The 19,091-nt window shown below is 39.4% G+C and overlaps 1 protein-coding gene across 3 annotated transcripts, besides 1 other annotated feature; it reads left to right on the plus strand.

The window, feature by feature from the left end:
• On the plus strand, positions 202 to 15,107 carry MS4A1 (membrane spanning 4-domains A1). 3 transcript variants are annotated; one of them, NM_152866.3, is made up of 8 exons: positions 202 to 300; positions 5,427 to 5,515; positions 6,540 to 6,888; positions 7,357 to 7,476; positions 8,643 to 8,699; positions 10,276 to 10,512; positions 11,314 to 11,415; positions 12,605 to 15,107. In NM_152866.3, the coding sequence occupies exons 3-8, from the start codon at positions 6,730 to 6,732 to the stop codon at positions 12,821 to 12,823; spliced, it is 894 nt and encodes a 297-aa protein (NP_690605.1). In that variant the 5' UTR covers positions 202 to 300; positions 5,427 to 5,515; positions 6,540 to 6,729; the 3' UTR covers positions 12,824 to 15,107. The 3 variants fall into 3 exon arrangements, with proteins under 3 accessions (NP_690605.1, NP_690606.1, NP_068769.2); NM_152867.2 differs by lacking the exon at positions 5,427 to 5,515; NM_021950.4 differs by lacking the exon at positions 5,427 to 5,515 and having other exon boundaries at positions 6,714 to 6,888.
• Positions 2,281 to 2,390: an enhancer, noted in NCBI's record as "active region_4770". NCBI's record gives its function as "activates an Ori minimal core promoter by ATAC-STARR-seq in GM12878 lymphoblastoid cells {active_cell/tissue: GM12878}" and the evidence as "EXISTENCE:reporter gene assay evidence [ECO:0000049][PMID:35858748]".

The following is a 19,091-nucleotide window of genomic DNA, read 5'->3' on the forward strand; positions in this document are numbered from 1 at the left end:
TAGCATGAGCATGCCAGGCAGTCCCCTGGGGTCTTTTTCAAGAAGTGAAACCTGGTAAGGCAGAAACTTTTTTTGCACCTCCTTCAGCTATGGTAAGTGTTAAACCAAAGTAATTGGAGCGAAGCCCAAGGTAGCAGAAGCTACTGATTTCCTGTCACCTGATGTCTATCAGCGATTTCATCTTCAGGCCTGGACTACACCACTCACCCTCCCAGTGTGCTTGAGAAACAAACTGCACCCACTGAACTCCGCAGCTAGCATCCAAATCAGCCCTTGAGATTTGAGGCCTTGGAGACTCAGGTAAGGAATCAATTTGCTTTCTTTAAATGACTTAAAGGAGGTGATGGATAAGGTATAGAATGGTTTTGAAGACTGGAGGTTCTTGATCTTAATTCTAGAGTTTCCCTAGTCAGACTTCCTAATAGTTCTATGACTTAAGGAGGGGTGACGATATCAAGGCTTGCTGCCCACTCACTCCTCTAATCAGTCTCCCTCTCAACAATTACCCTATGCAGTCAACTGTGAATCATTCCACAAAAGTAGTAGATTGCAGCATATATATTAAATCATGGTTTCTAAACCATTGGGTTCAAACTGGAGCTCTACCACTAACAAACAATATAACCTTGGGCAAATTACTAAACCTCTAAAGCCTCAGCTTCCTCATCTATAAAATGGGGGCAATGGTACCCATTACATTAGGAAAATTGGAACTAAAATCCTGAATCCCTTAGGACTTCCCAATACCAAATGAGAAAATAATCAGTCATAGGCATAATGAAAAAAACTCCATTTGTCTTCCTGTAAATGCTTTTGTCTACATTAAATGTAAATATACCTAGAAGTATAGGTGGCTTTACAGGCTAACATTTTCTGGAGGGGATTTGTGGACACCAAGTTGAGCATGAAATCCTGCCTCAAATCTATCACATGGGAAACCAAGAGTAAGAGGGGGCGCTGCAGATGTGGGGGAGCTCTAATGAAGGAAAACAAGGATTAATTTTAATCATGCCATTACTGTTTTCTGAATCCAGTATATAAGTGATTCCCTTTCCCTGTTTCCCATAAAATGGCTTAATCTCACTGAGAATCCGGTGGAAAGAAATGTTTAATCCAGCATTGTGAGCATTTTTGTGTGTGTGTTTTGTTTGTTTGTTCATTTTTTAGTGGAGACAAGGTTTCTCCATGTTGGCCAGGCTGGTCTCGAGCTCCCGACCTCAGGGGATCCACCTGCCTCGGCTTCCCAAAGTGCTGGGATTACAGGTGTGAGCCACTGCACCTGGCCATTGTGAGCACTTGTTAAGCTTCCCTGAGGAAGTAGCTGAGTTTGATGTTCAGCTTAATGTAACTGAGCTCATAGTACATAGAAAACAGGTTCCCTATGCAAGTCTAGTAGGATACAGGATTCTCCGAAGAAAGTAGTTGATGTCTAGTAAGGAAAGCAAAGAGCTAGGAGCTCTGAAGAATTCCTTGCAATCAGGCAAGGAGAGCAGGAACGCCCTCAGGTGATGTGCATATCTAATGCAGAGTTTGATTGAAAGTAAAGAGGGAGGGAGAAGGAACACTTCAAAGTTGAGAAGATTCAGGAAAGAAGGTAGAGGACATGTATAGACCAGTGGCTCTGGTGGCGGTAGTGGGATATGAGCTTGGGAAGTCATACAGGGCTGAATTCCAAAGGCCTTGAGGGGTTAGATGAAGGGTTTCTCCAGCAGGTAATGACAGGCCAGCAAAGGAGTTCAGGCTCAGGAAGAGCATCACTCAAAACAGTGATCGGGAGCTTGATGTAGCAGCCTTGTGGACAATGGATTAGAAAAGAGAAAGACTGAAGGCAGAAAAGCATGAATGGAAATGAGAAACTCACAGGTGACTCTGGATATAGAAAAAAGACCCACATGCAAAATGTATTGCAGAGGTAGAAATGGCATGACTTGGCCACTGACTGACCAACAGCCAAGATGAAGATGGACTGAGAGATGATGGAGCTAAAGTGAAATGTGGTCCCAACTATCTAAGCCTGGGTGGCAGGAGAAACAAATAAAACAATCTGAGACACGAGGCCTGAGAAAAGACCACTGACTTCACAGCACAGTCCTCAAAGACCAGTTTCAGTCCACTGACTGGCGGAAACTAGTTGCCAAGCATTGAGAAGTGAGTGGGTGGAGAGGAGGTGGGGGAAGAGAGTGGGTAGCAAAGCTTTGAAGCAGCTGCGGTGAAGAAAAAGTGAGCCTGGGCAGTGGGCAAGGACATTGCTAGATTAAAAGAAGAGGACTTTGGGATTCAGGGACACTGAAGTACATTTTAGTCATAAAAGGAGTATTTAGCACCTTAACAAATGCAACTTATCTCATATTCTCAAAATGATACTTTGAAATGGGGAAGGTAACTATTACCTTAAACTTACAGAGAGACCACAAGAGGAGCAAGCAAGAGAGCTGGGACTAACTCTGTCTGCTACATATTGCCAGAAATTGGGAGACTGAAGGTGCAAAGAAGAAATAATTTCTTGGAAGGGCTAACAGCTTGGTTGGACTGAGATGGGCTGAAAAGCACAGAGGGAAGGGAAGTAAGAGCACTCTTCCTCGGAGATAGGTGCACAGGAGGCCAGAAGGGATAAAAATGCAAAACTATTTTGAGTGGAAGAGAATGAAGATGAGGTAACAACAGTGAGGCAGTTTTTAAACTTCTCAGTACATGATGGTACGAGTGGACTTAAAAGTCTATTCAAACCAAAACCCATAAAGGCTGTGAGATCTTATTCAGTGGATGGACATGAAAACAGGGGTGCCTTTAAAAATAAAAAAATATTTGCAGGAGTTAGTGTGAGTAATTAAATGCGGTACTGAGTGATCACCTGAGTCTCTATTTTAACATTCATGCTGATTTGGACACCAGCAAATGTAAAATCTTATTGTTATCATATTGCGGCTAATGTGGTCCATAACCCCTACTAATCTACCAACTAGTCTTTGAGCATAACTGTGCATTGGGCACTAAGTCATTGTGAACAATTTATTTTAATGATAAGGCAAAATTGCGAGAATCTCCAATCTCCGTAGGCGAGTTTTATGTATTTATGAATTCTCATGGAACGAAAGCTTTTCATTACAGTCAGCCCACAATGCCATAAATCGATTAATATATTTACCTCTCATATATGAGACAGATATATATATAATCAGATATATATATGAAAGATAGTTTCCATAAGAAATAAAAAAACAGAGAAAGCACTCATGTGTTTCTTTATAAACTACTATTTTATACAAATATTTGTTTAAGGTTTGTAGAAGTATAGTTGCCACCATGAGATACCATTTTAACAGAGAAATATCACACACACACACACACAGCCCTCATGGTCATTATTGCCATTAGTTACAACAGGCATAGCCCAAGTAGAATTGGCTTACAAAAAAGTTTATCTCGCCAATAATACAGACACAGCTTTAATCAAGCAGTTGATGAATAAAATGAAATTAAAACAATGGCAGTCCAATCATCTCCTTCAGTTCAAACAATTGATGACCTTTGCATTTTAAGTTATCTTCACTAAAGTTACCCCTCTGGGGCGGAGTGTAGTGACTCCCAGCTCATTCCATACTTGCCATAGGACCTTGGGAAAAATAACCTCTCTCAACCTCCATTTCTTCATCTGCAGAAAGTAGTCAAAATGCCTACTTACGAAGGTGTTGAGTGAGTTGGCAATACCATATACAATATCTCTAGTATATAGTAGGTGCTCAGTAAACAACTATAATTATCTGGACTCACCTATGGTACAGCAGAAAAAGCATCAACATCAGAGCCATGGTGAGTGCCTTCTAGCTTGGCTCTGTTGCTAACTGTGAGGTCTTTACTAAGGCAAATTCTATACCCAGACTGCAGCTTCCTCATTTGTGAAATGAACAGAATGGTTTCTGAGGTTTGGACTAGCTCTAGAAATCCTACCTAGTGACCAGAATCAGTCCGCAAACTCTTTAGTGGGCTATATTAAAATATCTGTTTTTGTTAGAGGTCTTGTAGAGTGGCTTGTTGTACAAAGCAGATCCCCAGGACCATGTGGCATCTGGCTATCTAGGGCAGGGGCAAAATCAAGTGAGAAACAACCAAAGTTTCTTCTCTCTTTCCTCTAGCCCATGCGCCAGACAGATAATACTTTTCAACTGATTTATAGTCATTCACATAGTGCATATATTGGAAGGAGAAAAGAGGGGTCATAAGGGAAAGGCTGAATTCCTATTTCTCACAGGAGACAAAGCAGCCTGGTACCCTGGATGCCTAATTTGAGAGATCCAAGTCTTCATTTTAAATCTTTACAGGCTGGGCATGGTGGCTCACAGCTGTTATCCTAGCACTTTGGGAGGTGGAGGGGGGCAGATTGCTTGAGTCCAGGAGTTCAAGACCAGCCTGGGCAACATGGCAAGACCCCATCTCTAAAAAAAATATAAAAATTAGCTGAGTATGGTGGTGGTTGCCCGTGGTCCCAGCTACTCCAGTGGCTGAGGCAGAAGGATCACCTGAGCCCAGGAGGTAGAGGCTGCAGTGAGCTGTGATCATGACACTGCACTGCAGCCTGGGCGACAGAGCGAGGCCCTGTCATGAAAACAAACAAACAAACAAAAAATATTTACTAATTATGTAACTTGGCACAAGTAACCTAGCTTCTCCGTGCCCTTGTTTCCTCTTCTATAAAACACAGGTGATGATTCACCCCTTGCCTGTTCTATAAGGCTCAGATGAGATGCCATGTGTCAAATTTACTTCCAGCCCTAAAGTAGGTATAAATGTGACAGTAGTCAGCTGCCTGTTTTACAGCACACCTGCAGCTACTCAGCTCTGATTGACTTCAGTAAGATATACTTCAGGCTGTGGTCTAATGGCTGGGATGTGGCACCGGCTTCAGTAAGATATGTGACCTGGATAGACAGTCTTGATTTCCAAGACATCTTACATGACTTACAAGCAATAAAGACAAGAGCAAAGATGTGTCCCCAAAAGAGGGATTTTCAGATTCCAGGAAAGACCCAGTGGAGTCCGCATAAGTGGTTAACATGAACAAGTGAATGCTAAGGAAACCCAAGATGAAGATTGAACAGAATCTTAAAATGTCTGAGCTGGAAAGGGCCGTATTAATTGCCTTCTCACTTCAGAAATGAATAAATCATGAAAACTGATAAATAGCATTTACTACACTCTCCCTTTGTCCTAGGCACAATTACATATGTTAACTTATTTATGTCTTACATCTCAGAGAGGGGTACTGTTCTAACTTTACAGAAGGATAAAATCGAAACTAATGCTCAGCAAAGTACAAAGAACAAGAATAGCAACAAAAATAACTATTTATTCCAACATGGGTTCTTTGCATACATTTATTTCTTCAATAATATTTATTAAGAAGTAACTAAATCCAAAAATTATTTTAGATCCTGAACAAGAGAGAACAAAATCTCTACTTTGATGGAACTTCCATTCTGTGGGGAAGAGACTGACAATAAGCAATTAAATAAATAAGGTAATTTCCTACAGTGATCAATGCCGTAAAGCAATTAAGATAGGATTTTGTAAAAGACAGCAAATAGGAGTACATGTTATAGATTGAGGGTTCAAGGTAGGCTCCTCTAGGAGCTGACATTTGAGCTACACCTGAACAAAAAGACACTAGCCATGCACAGACCATGAGCCCAGTTAAGTGTTATAGCAGCCCACGAGATAAGAATTATTATTATTTCAATTTTACAGTTGAACCTGAGGCCCAGAGAATTTAAAGAACTTGCCCAACATCTCAGAACAAATGGAGGAATCACTATTGAAACCTAGGCAATCTGACTCAGGAGGCCACAGTCTTATATACTGCATTAGAAAGCCTTAGAGAGCCTTTTCTTTTTCTTTGAGACCGAGTCTCACTCTGTTACCCAGGCTGGAATGCAGTGGCATGATCTCAGCTCACTGCAACCTCTGCCTCCTGGGTTCAAGCAATTCTCCTGCCTTAGCCTCCCGAGTAGCTGGGATTACAGGTGCACACCAACATGCCTGGCTAATTTTTGTATTTGTAGTAGAGATGGGGTTTTGCCACGTTAGCCAGCCCGGTCTCAAACTCCTGACCTCAGGTGATCTGCCCATCTTGGCCTCCCAAAGTGCTTGGATTACAGGCATGAGCCACCGTGCCCGACCTAGAGAGCCTTCTTGATGTGACTTGCACAAGGTGGCAGAGTTAGAGACAGAGAGAGGCCTGGAATCGACCCCTCCTGCTTCTACAGATAGTCCTTACCATACTCTGCAATGTTGCCTCTGGCCCATCATAATGCACAAAGGCAGATAAGCAAAAGGACAAGGACAAGTCCATTGAAAATACATTTTTCAATATTAAAGCAAAAGAAAAGCATCCAGGAATAAGAAACAAAGAGGACATGCAGTCATATATGCAAGGTGTCCTCTACAAAGATAAAGAATGCCCCAAACCCAGTTGTCAAGATCACTGGCAGGGACTCCTGGGCCCACATGCTCTTCCTAAACAACCCCTCCATCTCCTTTCTCAGAACTCAGCAGTAGGCCTTGCCTCAGATCCAAGGTCACTCGGAAGAGGCCATGTCTACCCTCAATGACACTCATGGAGGAAATGCTGAGAGAAGCATTCAGATGCATGACACAAGGTAAGACTGCCAAAAATCTTGTTCTTGCTCTCCTCATTTTGTTATTTGTTTTATTTTTAGGAGTTTTGAGAGCAAAATGACAACACCCAGAAATTCAGTAAATGGGACTTTCCCGGCAGAGCCAATGAAAGGCCCTATTGCTATGCAATCTGGTCCAAAACCACTCTTCAGGAGGATGTCTTCACTGGTGGGCCCCACGCAAAGCTTCTTCATGAGGGAATCTAAGACTTTGGGGGTAAGTCAGTTGCCTTCCATCCCATGTCGTAGGGATTCTCTGGCTGACAGAAGCTGATGCGGTATAGGCCACATACAGAATTCAATCCAATTTGAAGAATTGGGATCCAACCTGATGTCTTCTTTATGTCTAACACAGTGGGCCAAATCAGGGGTGCATCAGAGAAGTTATCACTTAGATCACCTCTGGGTGATCTTATGTCACCTTTTGGTTTTGGGGCTTGTATATGCAGGGGTCCCCCATCCCAGTCCATTGCCAGAATCCCAGGCATACCTGCTCCCTGGAAATGCCCCATGTGGTTGAGGAAACAGATTCGAACAAGAAAAAGACAAAATTCTTGGCACCTCCACTGCTTCCTTTAGGCATTCCTCACAGCTCCAAGTCAGGAGCCAGAGCTTCCAACCTTGTCTTTGCCTGCTAGCAGTGATGATTTCAGCTCATCCACTGCTGCCTCTGTTCTCTCCCCAGGCTGTCCAGATTATGAATGGGCTCTTCCACATTGCCCTGGGGGGTCTTCTGATGATCCCAGCAGGGATCTATGCACCCATCTGTGTGACTGTGTGGTACCCTCTCTGGGGAGGCATTATGGTGAGTAAAAGAATAGCAGCCATTTGGGAAATGGTGCAGACAAAAATGTTAAAAGGCTCCACAGGGATATGCCAGATTATTTCTGTGTTGAGGGAAATATATGAGTAGGAAATATTATTGGGTTAAAGTAATTAAGAAGACAGGTTGACCAAATTGAGTATAAATCCCATGGTTGAGAGTCAGTGGTCCTGTTTCATGTGAATTCAGAGAAAGGGGCCCTGCATGGATCTCACAGGGACTGTCCAAAGCAAGAACTCTCCAAAGTCAGTTCTGGTGGGGAGGGTGGCCCTAGACATTTAGACTAGATAGCAAGATGTTTTGGAAAGCAAGAGGCAGCAGGAACATCCACTTCCATCTACCCCTTCTTGCTTACAATTCTGTTTGGTTACTATGGTACCTGGTGAAACCTGTCCCATCACAAGTCAGTCTCATTTTGCTTATCGACAGAGCAGCACTCTTTTGGCTGTTTTACGTACATGTTTTCCAAATCTGTAACCCTGTCTGGGTGTGGCACATAGGACAGTGATGTTTATTTCCCCGTGATACTTTTCATAGTTGCCACTATAAAAGATAAGTCCAGGATTAAAATTTTCCAAACAAGTAGAGATGGGTTAGAACAAGAGTTTCCTCCATTCTACAGCCTGAATGTGAGAAAAGGAAGATGAGCAATAGTCATCATCACTTCCTGTAACAGCCAATGTTTTCATGGAGTGCCTGTGCCATTCAGGTCAAGTATTTCCTTCTGCATCAGTTCACTCTTCAGAGGGCATCAGAGTCATTTATGTCACTGTGAACCCCAAAGGGCAGTTCCACAAGTTAAAAACAAAGAAAAACTAGAAATAAAACTTTTAAATTTATGGTATGAGTATTAATTGATGAGGAAATTTGAGTTCTGTCTCTTTGGTCTTACTATATTCCTAGTCACAGATCCCCAGATGATTGAGTAAAAGGCATGAATTTAGTGTCACTGAGCCTGAATAAAGGAGGAATATGACAGCTGAAAAATGAATACAACTGATAAAAATGGGTGGATGGTTGTGTGAAAGTTGCTGAAAGTGTAGGCTTCTTTCTGACCAGTTATCAATGTTAAAAAGTGATCTCCCTCTCTCCTCTATCTCCTGTCTTGCCCACCCCCTCTCCATCTCCCCCACCTCTCTTTTTTACAGTATATTATTTCCGGATCACTCCTGGCAGCAACGGAGAAAAACTCCAGGAAGTGTTTGGCAAGTAACCATATGTCCTTCTTTCCCACATGTCAGAGAAGTACCTATTTTTTTCGGTTAAAAACTGAGACCCTTAAAAAGCCAAGGTATCACAGCCTCTCAGCCCTAAAAAGCAAAGACCCTCCACAATGTTATTGTGATTTTATTTATGAAAAACTTAGAAGCGAGGTCTATCTGAAGTATGTTCATGGGAACAGAACTAAAAGCAGATCCATGAAAACCATACCTACAGTCTTAAGAACGTTAAATGCTGTGTGAAAATAATAGACCTTTCTGAAAGCCCTATCATTTCTCCCAGATCACCATTTAGGAAAATTATCTGATCAATGTCATGATTGATTCAAATTCTAGCTAAGCCATTTTTTGGCCGTAACATTGAACAAGTCAGTTTACCTCTATGTTCCTGAGTTTTCACCTAGAAAGGAAGGGTAACAGTCCTTGCTACCATGTGACGTCCAATGGAGATGAAAGGCAGTAGAGTGTGTGATGGTGCTTCACAGGCTATAAAGTACTACACTGTGGTCTTGCCCATAAAACCCCTAGGGACTCATCTAGATCCAGAGGAAACTGGCCTGCAGAGCTGCTGATGCTGTATGGATGAAAAGAGTTTAGCAGCAAGTTCGCTCCCAAAAAATTCCTCCCCCAACACTGTTACTAAACTGTGTCACTTTCATAATCAATGAGGGAATGGGTGGATTGAGATGGTTCCTGTCTTAAAGTGGCCTGACACACTCAGTTTGGGGGGAAAACTTTTTATGAACATCAAATTATTCTCTAGATACAGCCAGATTTACTGACTTGCCATGTGTAGGTCATAGAGCCAGGAATGAAATATGCGCAGCATAAAATAATAATCAATAATCCCATATCATTATGGTACTTGTTATTTATATTTTCCTGTTTCAACCTTTTATCATCCCTGCAAGGTAGAACATTCACACTGATATTTTCTTACCTATGCTACCCAAAGACATCAGCCCTAATTGTATTTTGGAAGATAGCTGACTGGGGCTGATTGCAACCTATGTCAGCAGGAATAGATGTTGTTACTGTTGTTGCTTCTGCTTTTTTTATTTCCATTTATTTGATAGTACAGATCTAGAGGGTTCTATCTGAACCTTCCCAACCTATACTTCATAATACCATCCCACTAAAGTGTGATACAAGAAACTTCTTCACTCTCTTCCCTCTACCTATTTATGAAGGCAGATAATAAACTGGATAATATTTATCTTCACTTATTCAACAAACATTTATTGAGTGCCTACTAGGATGGTGGCAGTGGCAGTGAAGGAAATGCAAGGATACAAGATATAGAATCAAGGGTTACTCTTAGAATTTTTGCTTTATAAAACAGATGGATGGTGAATGAGATAGGGAAGACTGAGAAAAGAACAGGATAGAGACATGATTTTATTTTATAGTGACAAAGAGGCTAAAAACAACTGAGAGAACTTCAGTATATTTAGTTGTAGTTGCTTTGTGAGTCAGGGCAGTTGCATTTGGAATTCCCTCCCAGATTATGTTTTCCAAAGGGAAATCAAACCCAATTAATAAATCTGTGTCTCCATTTCAGGTCAAAGGAAAAATGATAATGAATTCATTGAGCCTCTTTGCTGCCATTTCTGGAATGATTCTTTCAATCATGGACATACTTAATATTAAAATTTCCCATTTTTTAAAAATGGAGAGTCTGAATTTTATTAGAGCTCACACACCATATATTAACATATACAACTGTGAACCAGCTAATCCCTCTGAGAAAAACTCCCCATCTACCCAATACTGTTACAGCATACAATCTCTGTTCTTGGTAAGTGTTCTTGGTAAGTGTGAGATTGGATTTCTCTCCAGGGAGGAAGGATGACTTGTTTATTATGAGCATGAACTCTGGATCCAGACCACCTGAGTTTGCTAGTTACTGTCTGTGTGGCTTTGGGAAAGAATTTTAACCACACTGTGCCTCAATTTCTTCAACTGTAAAATGGGGATGGTAACACTATTTATCTAATAGGGTTGTTCTGAGGAATAAATAAGTTAATATATACAAAGCATTTAGAACAGTGTTTGGTACACAGAAGTGCTATATAAGCATTGGCTTTAACATTAATTATTCTCAACATCATTAATGGCATTAATATTTACCATTATATTAACTAAGATGAGCATAGAAGAAATTCCTAAGATGTTATGAATATCTTTTGCCCAAGGACTTTTAAATGTAGAGTTTGAAAGAGATAAAAAAAAATGCATCTCCCAAGGATGAAGAGGTCTCCTAGGCATGATGCCACACCAACTAAGGCTGAATACAATTTAATTTGAGACTCATTACTTATTCTTTCCTATACAGAATTGATTCTTCAACTGATTATTCATACCTTACTTTCTATCAGCAATACACATTAACCATCTGTTGTGTGCCAAAAGTTGTGTTAAGAGTTAGGGTTATAAAGATGCTGTCTCCTGTACTAGCAGTTCTCACAGCTATTCATTACTTGTCTAAAGAATTGATCTCTTAATCGTTCAATTATAGTCAACAATAACTTACTGAACACCAACAATGTTCTTTGTGCCATTATTACATTTTCACCTTCATTCTTCTGTTGTTTTTCAGGGCATTTTGTCAGTGATGCTGATCTTTGCCTTCTTCCAGGAACTTGTAATAGCTGGCATCGTTGAGAATGAATGGAAAAGAACGTGCTCCAGACCCAAATCTGTAAGTAGTAGCCCCTCTGGCCAAAACCTCCCTCTAGAAAATCCACATCCACAAAGGATCATTTATGGAGAATGTAATCTGATGAGTTGTTGAAACTAGGAGCTTGATTTAAAAAAAAAAATTGGTCTTGGCATATTTCTAGAAAGCAAATAATATGATGTCTTGAAATTTGAAATAAGTCTGTAGTTAGAGCCTACAGTTCTATATTCTGTGCGTCTTTTTTTTTTTTTTTTTTGAGACAGAGTCTCACTTTGTTGCCCAGGCTAGAGTGCAATGGCGCGATCTTGGCCCAGTGCAACCTCTGCCTCCGGGTTCAGGCGATTCTCCTGCCTCACCCTCCCGAGTAGCTGGGATTACAGGCACCCGCCATCATGCCTGGCCAATTTTTGTATTTTTGTAGAGACGGGGGTTCACCATGTTGGCCAGGCCAGTCTTGAACTCCCGACCTCAGGTGATCCTCCCACCTCAGCCTCCGAAAGTGCTGGGATTGCAGGCGTGAGCCACCATGCCCCACCTCTGTGCATCTTCTTATTAACCTTCCCTGCTGCTTGACTTCAGGCTTCCATCCTGATTTCATGATTCCATATACAGTGTGTAAAAGCAAGATGGTTGAAGGTTGAAGGCTAAGTCACTAGTTCTTTGGTTTCATTTTTCAGTATTCCCCTCTTCCCTCCTTTTCACCTAATTCCTCTTCCAAAACAACAGGTTAAAGGGCTCCACAAATGGGAAATAAAAACAGACCAATAATAGATATATTACTAACTGCTTCAGAACCAGACTGTTAGATTTAGAATTTAGAAATCATCGCTAATTACTTCATTTTGCATTTAAAGAAAAATAGTATCAAAGAGAGAAAATTATTCTCCCAGAGTTATATTCACTAAAGGCAAATCAGAACGAAAATCTAAACTCCTCTATTACTGCAATGTTCTTTTCCCAATACCACGTGGTCATTCCAGGCACTGTGGTCAATGTCTGCTGCCCTTGAAGATTTATTCAGACTTGAGTTTTAATAAATGACTTGATAAGGATATAAGCACCTGCAAAAAAATTTTGGCATTTAAAGGCATATAATAAATGACATAAGTAGCATAAAAACCAGGAGGTATTTGATAAATGTTTGTGGAGATTGTTGACAAAGGTGTCAGTGGTAAAAGTAAAGAATGGTTTGTTTAATTTTCTGTTTTAGAACATAGTTCTCCTGTCAGCAGAAGAAAAAAAAGAACAGACTATTGAAATAAAAGAAGAAGTGGTTGGGCTAACTGAAACATCTTCCCAACCAAAGAATGAAGAAGACATTGAAATTATTCCAATCCAAGAAGAGGAAGAAGAAGAAACAGAGACGAACTTTCCAGAACCTCCCCAAGATCAGGAATCCTCACCAATAGAAAATGACAGCTCTCCTTAAGTGATTTCTTCTGTTTTCTGTTTCCTTTTTTAAACATTAGTGTTCATAGCTTCCAAGAGACATGCTGACTTTCATTTCTTGAGGTACTCTGCACATACGCACCACATCTCTATCTGGCCTTTGCATGGAGTGACCATAGCTCCTTCTCTCTTACATTGAATGTAGAGAATGTAGCCATTGTAGCAGCTTGTGTTGTCACGCTTCTTCTTTTGAGCAACTTTCTTACACTGAAGAAAGGCAGAATGAGTGCTTCAGAATGTGATTTCCTACTAACCTGTTCCTTGGATAGGCTTTTTAGTATAGTATTTTTTTTTGTCATTTTCTCCATCAACAACCAGGGAGACTGCACCTGATGGAAAAGATATATGACTGCTTCATGACATTCCTAAACTATCTTTTTTTTATTCCACATCTACGTTTTTGGTGGAGTCCCTTTTGCATCATTGTTTTAAGGATGATAAAAAAAAATAACAACTAGGGACAATACAGAACCCATTCCATTTATCTTTCTACAGGGCTGACATTGTGGCACATTCTTAGAGTTACCACACCCCATGAGGGAAGCTCTAAATAGCCAACACCCATCTGTTTTTTGTAAAAACAGCATAGCTTATACATGGACATGTCTCTGCCTTAACTTTTCCTAACTCCCACTCTAGGCTATTGTTTGCATGTCTACCTACTTTTAGCCATTATGCGAGAAAAGAAAAAAATGACCATAGAAAATGCCACCATGAGGTGCCCAAATTTCAAATAATAATTAACATTTAGTTATATTTATAATTTCCAGATGACAAAGTATTTCATCAAATAACTTCATTTGATGTTCCATGATCAAGAAAGAATCCCTATCTCTATTTTACAAGTAATTCAAAGAGGCCAAATAACTTGTAAACAAGAAAAGGTAACTTGTCAACAGTCATAACTAGTAATTATGAGAGCCTTGTTTCATAACCAGGTCTTCTTACTCAAATCCTGTGATGTTTGAAATAACCAAATTGTCTCTCCAATGTCTGCATAAACTGTGAGAGCCAAGTCAACAGCTTTTATCAAGAATTTACTCTCTGACCAGCAATAAACAAGCACTGAGAGACACAGAGAGCCAGATTCAGATTTTACCCATGGGGATAAAAAGACTCAGACTTTCACCACATTTGGAAAACTACTTGCATCATAAATATATAATAACTGGTAGTTTATATGAAGCAGACACTAAGTGCTATAGACACTCTCAGAATATCATACTTGGAAACAATGTAATTAAAATGCCGAATCTGAGTCAACAGCTGCCCTACTTTTCAATTCAGATATACTAGTACCTTACCTAGAAATAATGTTAACCTAGGGTGAAGTCACTATAATCTGTAGTCTATTATTTGGGCATTTGCTACATGATGAGTGCTGCCAGATTGTGGCAGGTAAAGAGACAATGTAATTTGCACTCCCTATGATATTTCTACATTTTTAGCGACCACTAGTGGAAGACATTCCCCAAAATTAGAAAAAAAGGAGATAGAAGATTTCTGTCTATGTAAAGTTCTCAAAATTTGTTCTAAATTAATAAAACTATCTTTGTGTTCTTTTCTGCAACAGATGATTCCAACATGGGTGTTTGTCTATTCTTCTTTACTCTTGAAACATTAGACCATGGGAGGCTCTTACAGCCTTGAGTTGATATTTATACAACCCAAATCTAGGTTTGAACGGTGAGGTGTCAGGTCATCAAATATTCATGTCTATATAGTCTTACACAGGTTCTCAAAAAAAATGTTCATGGGATAGGTCATTGATAATGGATTCCTTATTCTGAGAACTCCAGACGACTGAAATATATGAGAGAAGGAAAAGGACATAGTAGGAGCAGGCCTGAGAAAAAAATGAAAGTCAGAAATCTTTAAAAAAATACAAGATCTTATTTCTATCTTATTTTTTCTCCTCTTCTGAAATATATATGAGGATTCCTCTCCAAACCCATGGTTTCTCTAAGAATTTTGAGTCATTTGTATGACCTCAAATAATTAGTTTTAGCTGACCTCACATAACTCCTTATAATAGGAGACATCTTTAATGTCTGCTATTAAAGAAGGATGAAAATTCCTATGACCTTCTCCCCGATTATCCCTTTGGCAATATAGAGTCAAATAATAACATTGACCAATAGTAAACATGCTTTGCCAAGAAGTAGAAGATATATTCTCTAGCCTTAGTTTTTCCTCCCAATTTGCATTTTTGTAAAAATAATGTTGTATCCACAAAGGAAATAAACTTTAAAAACCCAAGTGCACTCATTGACTAGGAGGCTGACGTAACTTATTTTCATTTTCTTCTGGTTTTCTTATAATCTTTGTTTAAAATAAGGTGATAAACCATCCCAGTTTGTCTGAGTCTGAGGGATTTCCTGGGATACACGATTTTCAATGTTAAAACCAAGATAGTCCCAGGCAAACAGGATAGTTGATTATCCTACTTCATAGTAATAGATTACTCACTTACAATCACTGCATAATATTTACTTTTTACATGTAACAGTATATCATAGATTTTTCCTTATTGATACATAATTTCATAAGCATCACTTAATTTCAACTTAGGATTTTATGAATCAATATAAATTTACCATTCCTCTATTATTGGATATGTAGGGTATTTCCTTTTCTTTCTTTATACAAATCACTTTTGGAGCACAGAAATCATGAGCAAGATACATGTTTCCTCTTATTATTCAAAATGTAGCTTTACATTTAAAGTCTTGTCAACATTGACCAGTAGGAATTACTAGCACCTGTTAAAACCCAGAAAATTTACCTTTAATTTCACATCAACAAGAGAATAGTCAAAGATCCAATACACAGAAATAGTTACTTCAGATTCATTTAGCTTGAGTTCATTTAAGAAATCTGATTTGTTTTAAATTCTTGGTGTATAACATAAAACACTGATGGAGGGGTTCAAATCTGAAATTTTCCTAGGTTAAGTCTTCAATCCTTTAGTGAGCTTCCTTTTATGGAAAACTTGGTTGTGTGTTCTGAGCTAAAAAGTACCAAGTCATAAATGAATATGATAGAATCATGTGGTGGCAAAATCAAAGCAAAGTTACAATTATCCTCTATTGACCCCAGCCTACTCAGCAGTGCAAAATGCTGAGAAAGAATAAATAAGTTGTCTACCCTTAGAACTTACTACCTGGCTGGAGAAAGAGAAATTAGTTCATCAGGTACCTGTTATGGGTAAAGCATTTTGTTAAGTATGGTGGGGTACAGATAAAGATAGGAGAAGCTCCCTGATCTCAAAAATCTTACTGCCTAATTGAGAATGATATAAGCATATGTATTAAAAGATAACCAATAAAGGTCCAAGAAAACTCAATGTGAAAATAACAATCTTTTCAACAAACTGTGGTGGGACAACTGGATAGCCATATACAAAAGAATAAAATTGGATACCTACCTCACGCCATACACAAAAATAAAAATGGAGGCCTAAATGTAGGAGCTAAAATTATAAAACCTCTTAGGAGAAAACATAGGTATACATTTTGTTACCTTGGAAAGGCAATGAGTTCTTCAATATGACACCAGAGGCACAAGCAACCAAAGAAAAAATAGATAACTTTGTTCTTAAACAAACAAACAAAAGAAACAAAGAAGGAAAATAGGAAGGAAGAGAAAGAGAAAAAAAGAAAGGAAGTAAAGGAAATAAAGAAGGACACAACTTTACTCCATACTGTTTGGGTTTTGAGTTTTGGTATACTTTAGACTCCCAAGAAGGAATTTAGAATAGGAGTTACCAAATGGATGCACATTAGCATGAAGTGAGAGTTTTCCAAAGCCCTACTGCCTAAGCTGAGCCCAGATATAATCATTAGAATCTCTGGGCTAGCAGATGTCTATTAGGTCTGCTTGGTGCAGAGCTGAGTTCAATTCCTGGGTATCCTTGTTAACTTTCTGACTCACTGATCTGTCTAATGTTGACAGTGGGGTGTTAAAGCCACCCCAAATCAACAGAATATATATTTCTTTCAGCACCACACCACACCTATTCCAAAATTGACCACATACTTGGAAGTAAAGCTCTCCTCAGCAAATGTAAAAGAACAGAAATTATAACAAACTCTCTCAGACCACAGTGCAATCAAACTAGAACTCAGGATTAAGAAGCTCACTCAAAACCGCTCAACTACATGGAAACTGAACAACTTGCTCCTGAATGACTACTGGGTACATAACGAAATGAAGGCAGAAATAAAGATGTTCTTTGAAACCAAAGAGAACAAAGACACAACATACCAGAATCTCTGGGACACATTCAAAGCTGTGTAGAGGGAAATTTATAGCACTAAAGGTCCACAAGAGAAACAGGAAAGATCTAAAATTGACACACTAACATCACAATTAAAAGAACTAGAAAAGCAAGAGCAAACACATTCAAAAGCTAGCAGAAGGCAAGAAATAACTAAAATCAGAGCAGAACTGAAGGAAATAGAGACAAAAAAAACCCTTCAAAAAATTAATGAATCCAGGAGCTGGTTTTTTGAAAGGATCAACAGAATTGATAGACCGCTAGCAAGACTAATAAAGAAAAAAAGAGAGAAGAATCAAATAGACGCAATAAAAAATGATAAAGGGGATATCACCACCGATCCCACAGAAATATAAACTACCATCAGAGAATACTACAAACATCTCTACACAAATAAACTAGAAAATCTAGAAGAAATGGATAAATTCCTCGACACATACACTGTCCCAAGACTAAACAAGGAAGAAGTTGAATCTCTGAATAGACCAACAACAGGATCTGAAATTGTGGCAATAACCAATAGCTTACCAACCAAAAAGAGTCCAGGACCAGATGGATTCACAGCCGAATTCTACCAGAGGTACAAGGAGGAACTGGTACCATTCCTTCTGAAACTATTCCAATCAATAGAAAAAGAGGGAATCCTCCCTAACTCATTTTATGAGGCCAGCATCATCCTGATACCAAAGCCTGGCAGAGACACAACCAAAAAAGAGAATTTTAGACCAATATCCTTGATGAACATTGATGCAAAAATCCTCAATTAAATACTGGCAAACCGCATCCAGCAGCACATCAAAAAGCTTATCCACCATGATCAAGTGGGCTTCATCCCTGGGATGCAAGGCTGGTTCAATGTATGCAAATCAATAAATGTAATCCAGCATATAAACCGAACCAAAGACAAAAACCACATGATTATCTCAATAGATGCAGAAAAGGCCTTTGACAAAATTCAACAACCCTTCATGCTAAAAGCTCTCAATAAATTAGGTACTGATGGGACGTATCTCAAAATAATAAGAGCTATCTATGACAAACCCACAGCCAATATCATACTGAATGGGCAAAAACTGGAAGCATTCCCTTTGAAAACTGGCACAAGACAGGGATGCCCTCTCTCACCACTCCTATTCAACATAGTGTTGGAAGTTCTGGCCAGGGCAATTAGGCAGGAGAAGGACATAAAGGGTATTCAATTAGGAAAAGAGGAAGTCAAATTGTCCCTGTTTGCAGATGACATGATTGTATATCTAGAAAACCCCATTGTCTCAGCCCAAAATCTCCTTAAGCTGATCAGCAACTTCAGCAAAGTCTCAGGATACAAAATCAATGTACAAAAATCACAAGCATTCTTATACACCAACAACAGACAAACAGAGAGCCAAATCATGAGTGAACTCCCATTCACAATTGCTTCAAAGAGAATAGAATACCTAGGAATCCAACTTACAAGGGATGTGAAGGACCTCTTCAAGGAGAACTACAAACCACTGCTCAAGGAAATAAAAGAGGATACAAACAAATGGAAGAACATTCCATGCTCATGGGTAGGAAGAATCAATATCATGAAAATGGCCATACTGCCCAAGGTAATTTATAGATTCAATGCCATCCCCATCAAGCTACCAATGACTTTCTTCACAGAATTGGAAAAAACTACTTTAAAGTTCATATGGAACCAAAAGAGAGCCCGCATCGCCAAGTCAATCCGAAGCCAAAAGAACAAAGCTGGAGGCATCAGGCTACCTGACTTCAAACTATACTACAAGGCTACAGTCACCAAAACAGCATGGTACTGGTACCAAAACAGAGATATAGATCAATGGAACAGAACAGAGCCCTTGGAAATAACGCCGCATATCTACAACTATCTGATCTTTGACAAACCTGAGAAAAACAAGCAATGGGGAAAGCATTCCCTATTCAATAAATGGTGCTGGGAAAACTGGCTAGCCATATGTAGAAA

Source organism: Homo sapiens, chromosome 11, assembly GCF_000001405.40.
Source record: "Homo sapiens chromosome 11, GRCh38.p14 Primary Assembly".
NCBI lineage: Eukaryota > Metazoa > Chordata > Mammalia > Primates > Hominidae > Homo > Homo sapiens.

Coding starts and splice junctions, on each gene's coding strand:
- MS4A1 (NM_152866.3), top strand. CDS start 6,730: ATGACAACACCCAGAAATTCAGTAAATGGGACTTTCCCGGCAGAGCCA. Junction 10,513..11,313: donor GCATACAATCTCTGTTCTTG/GTAAGTGTTCTT, acceptor GTTGTTTTTCAG/GGCATTTTGTCAGTGATGCT. Junction 11,416..12,604: donor CGTGCTCCAGACCCAAATCT/GTAAGTAGTAGC, acceptor TTTCTGTTTTAG/AACATAGTTCTCCTGTCAGC.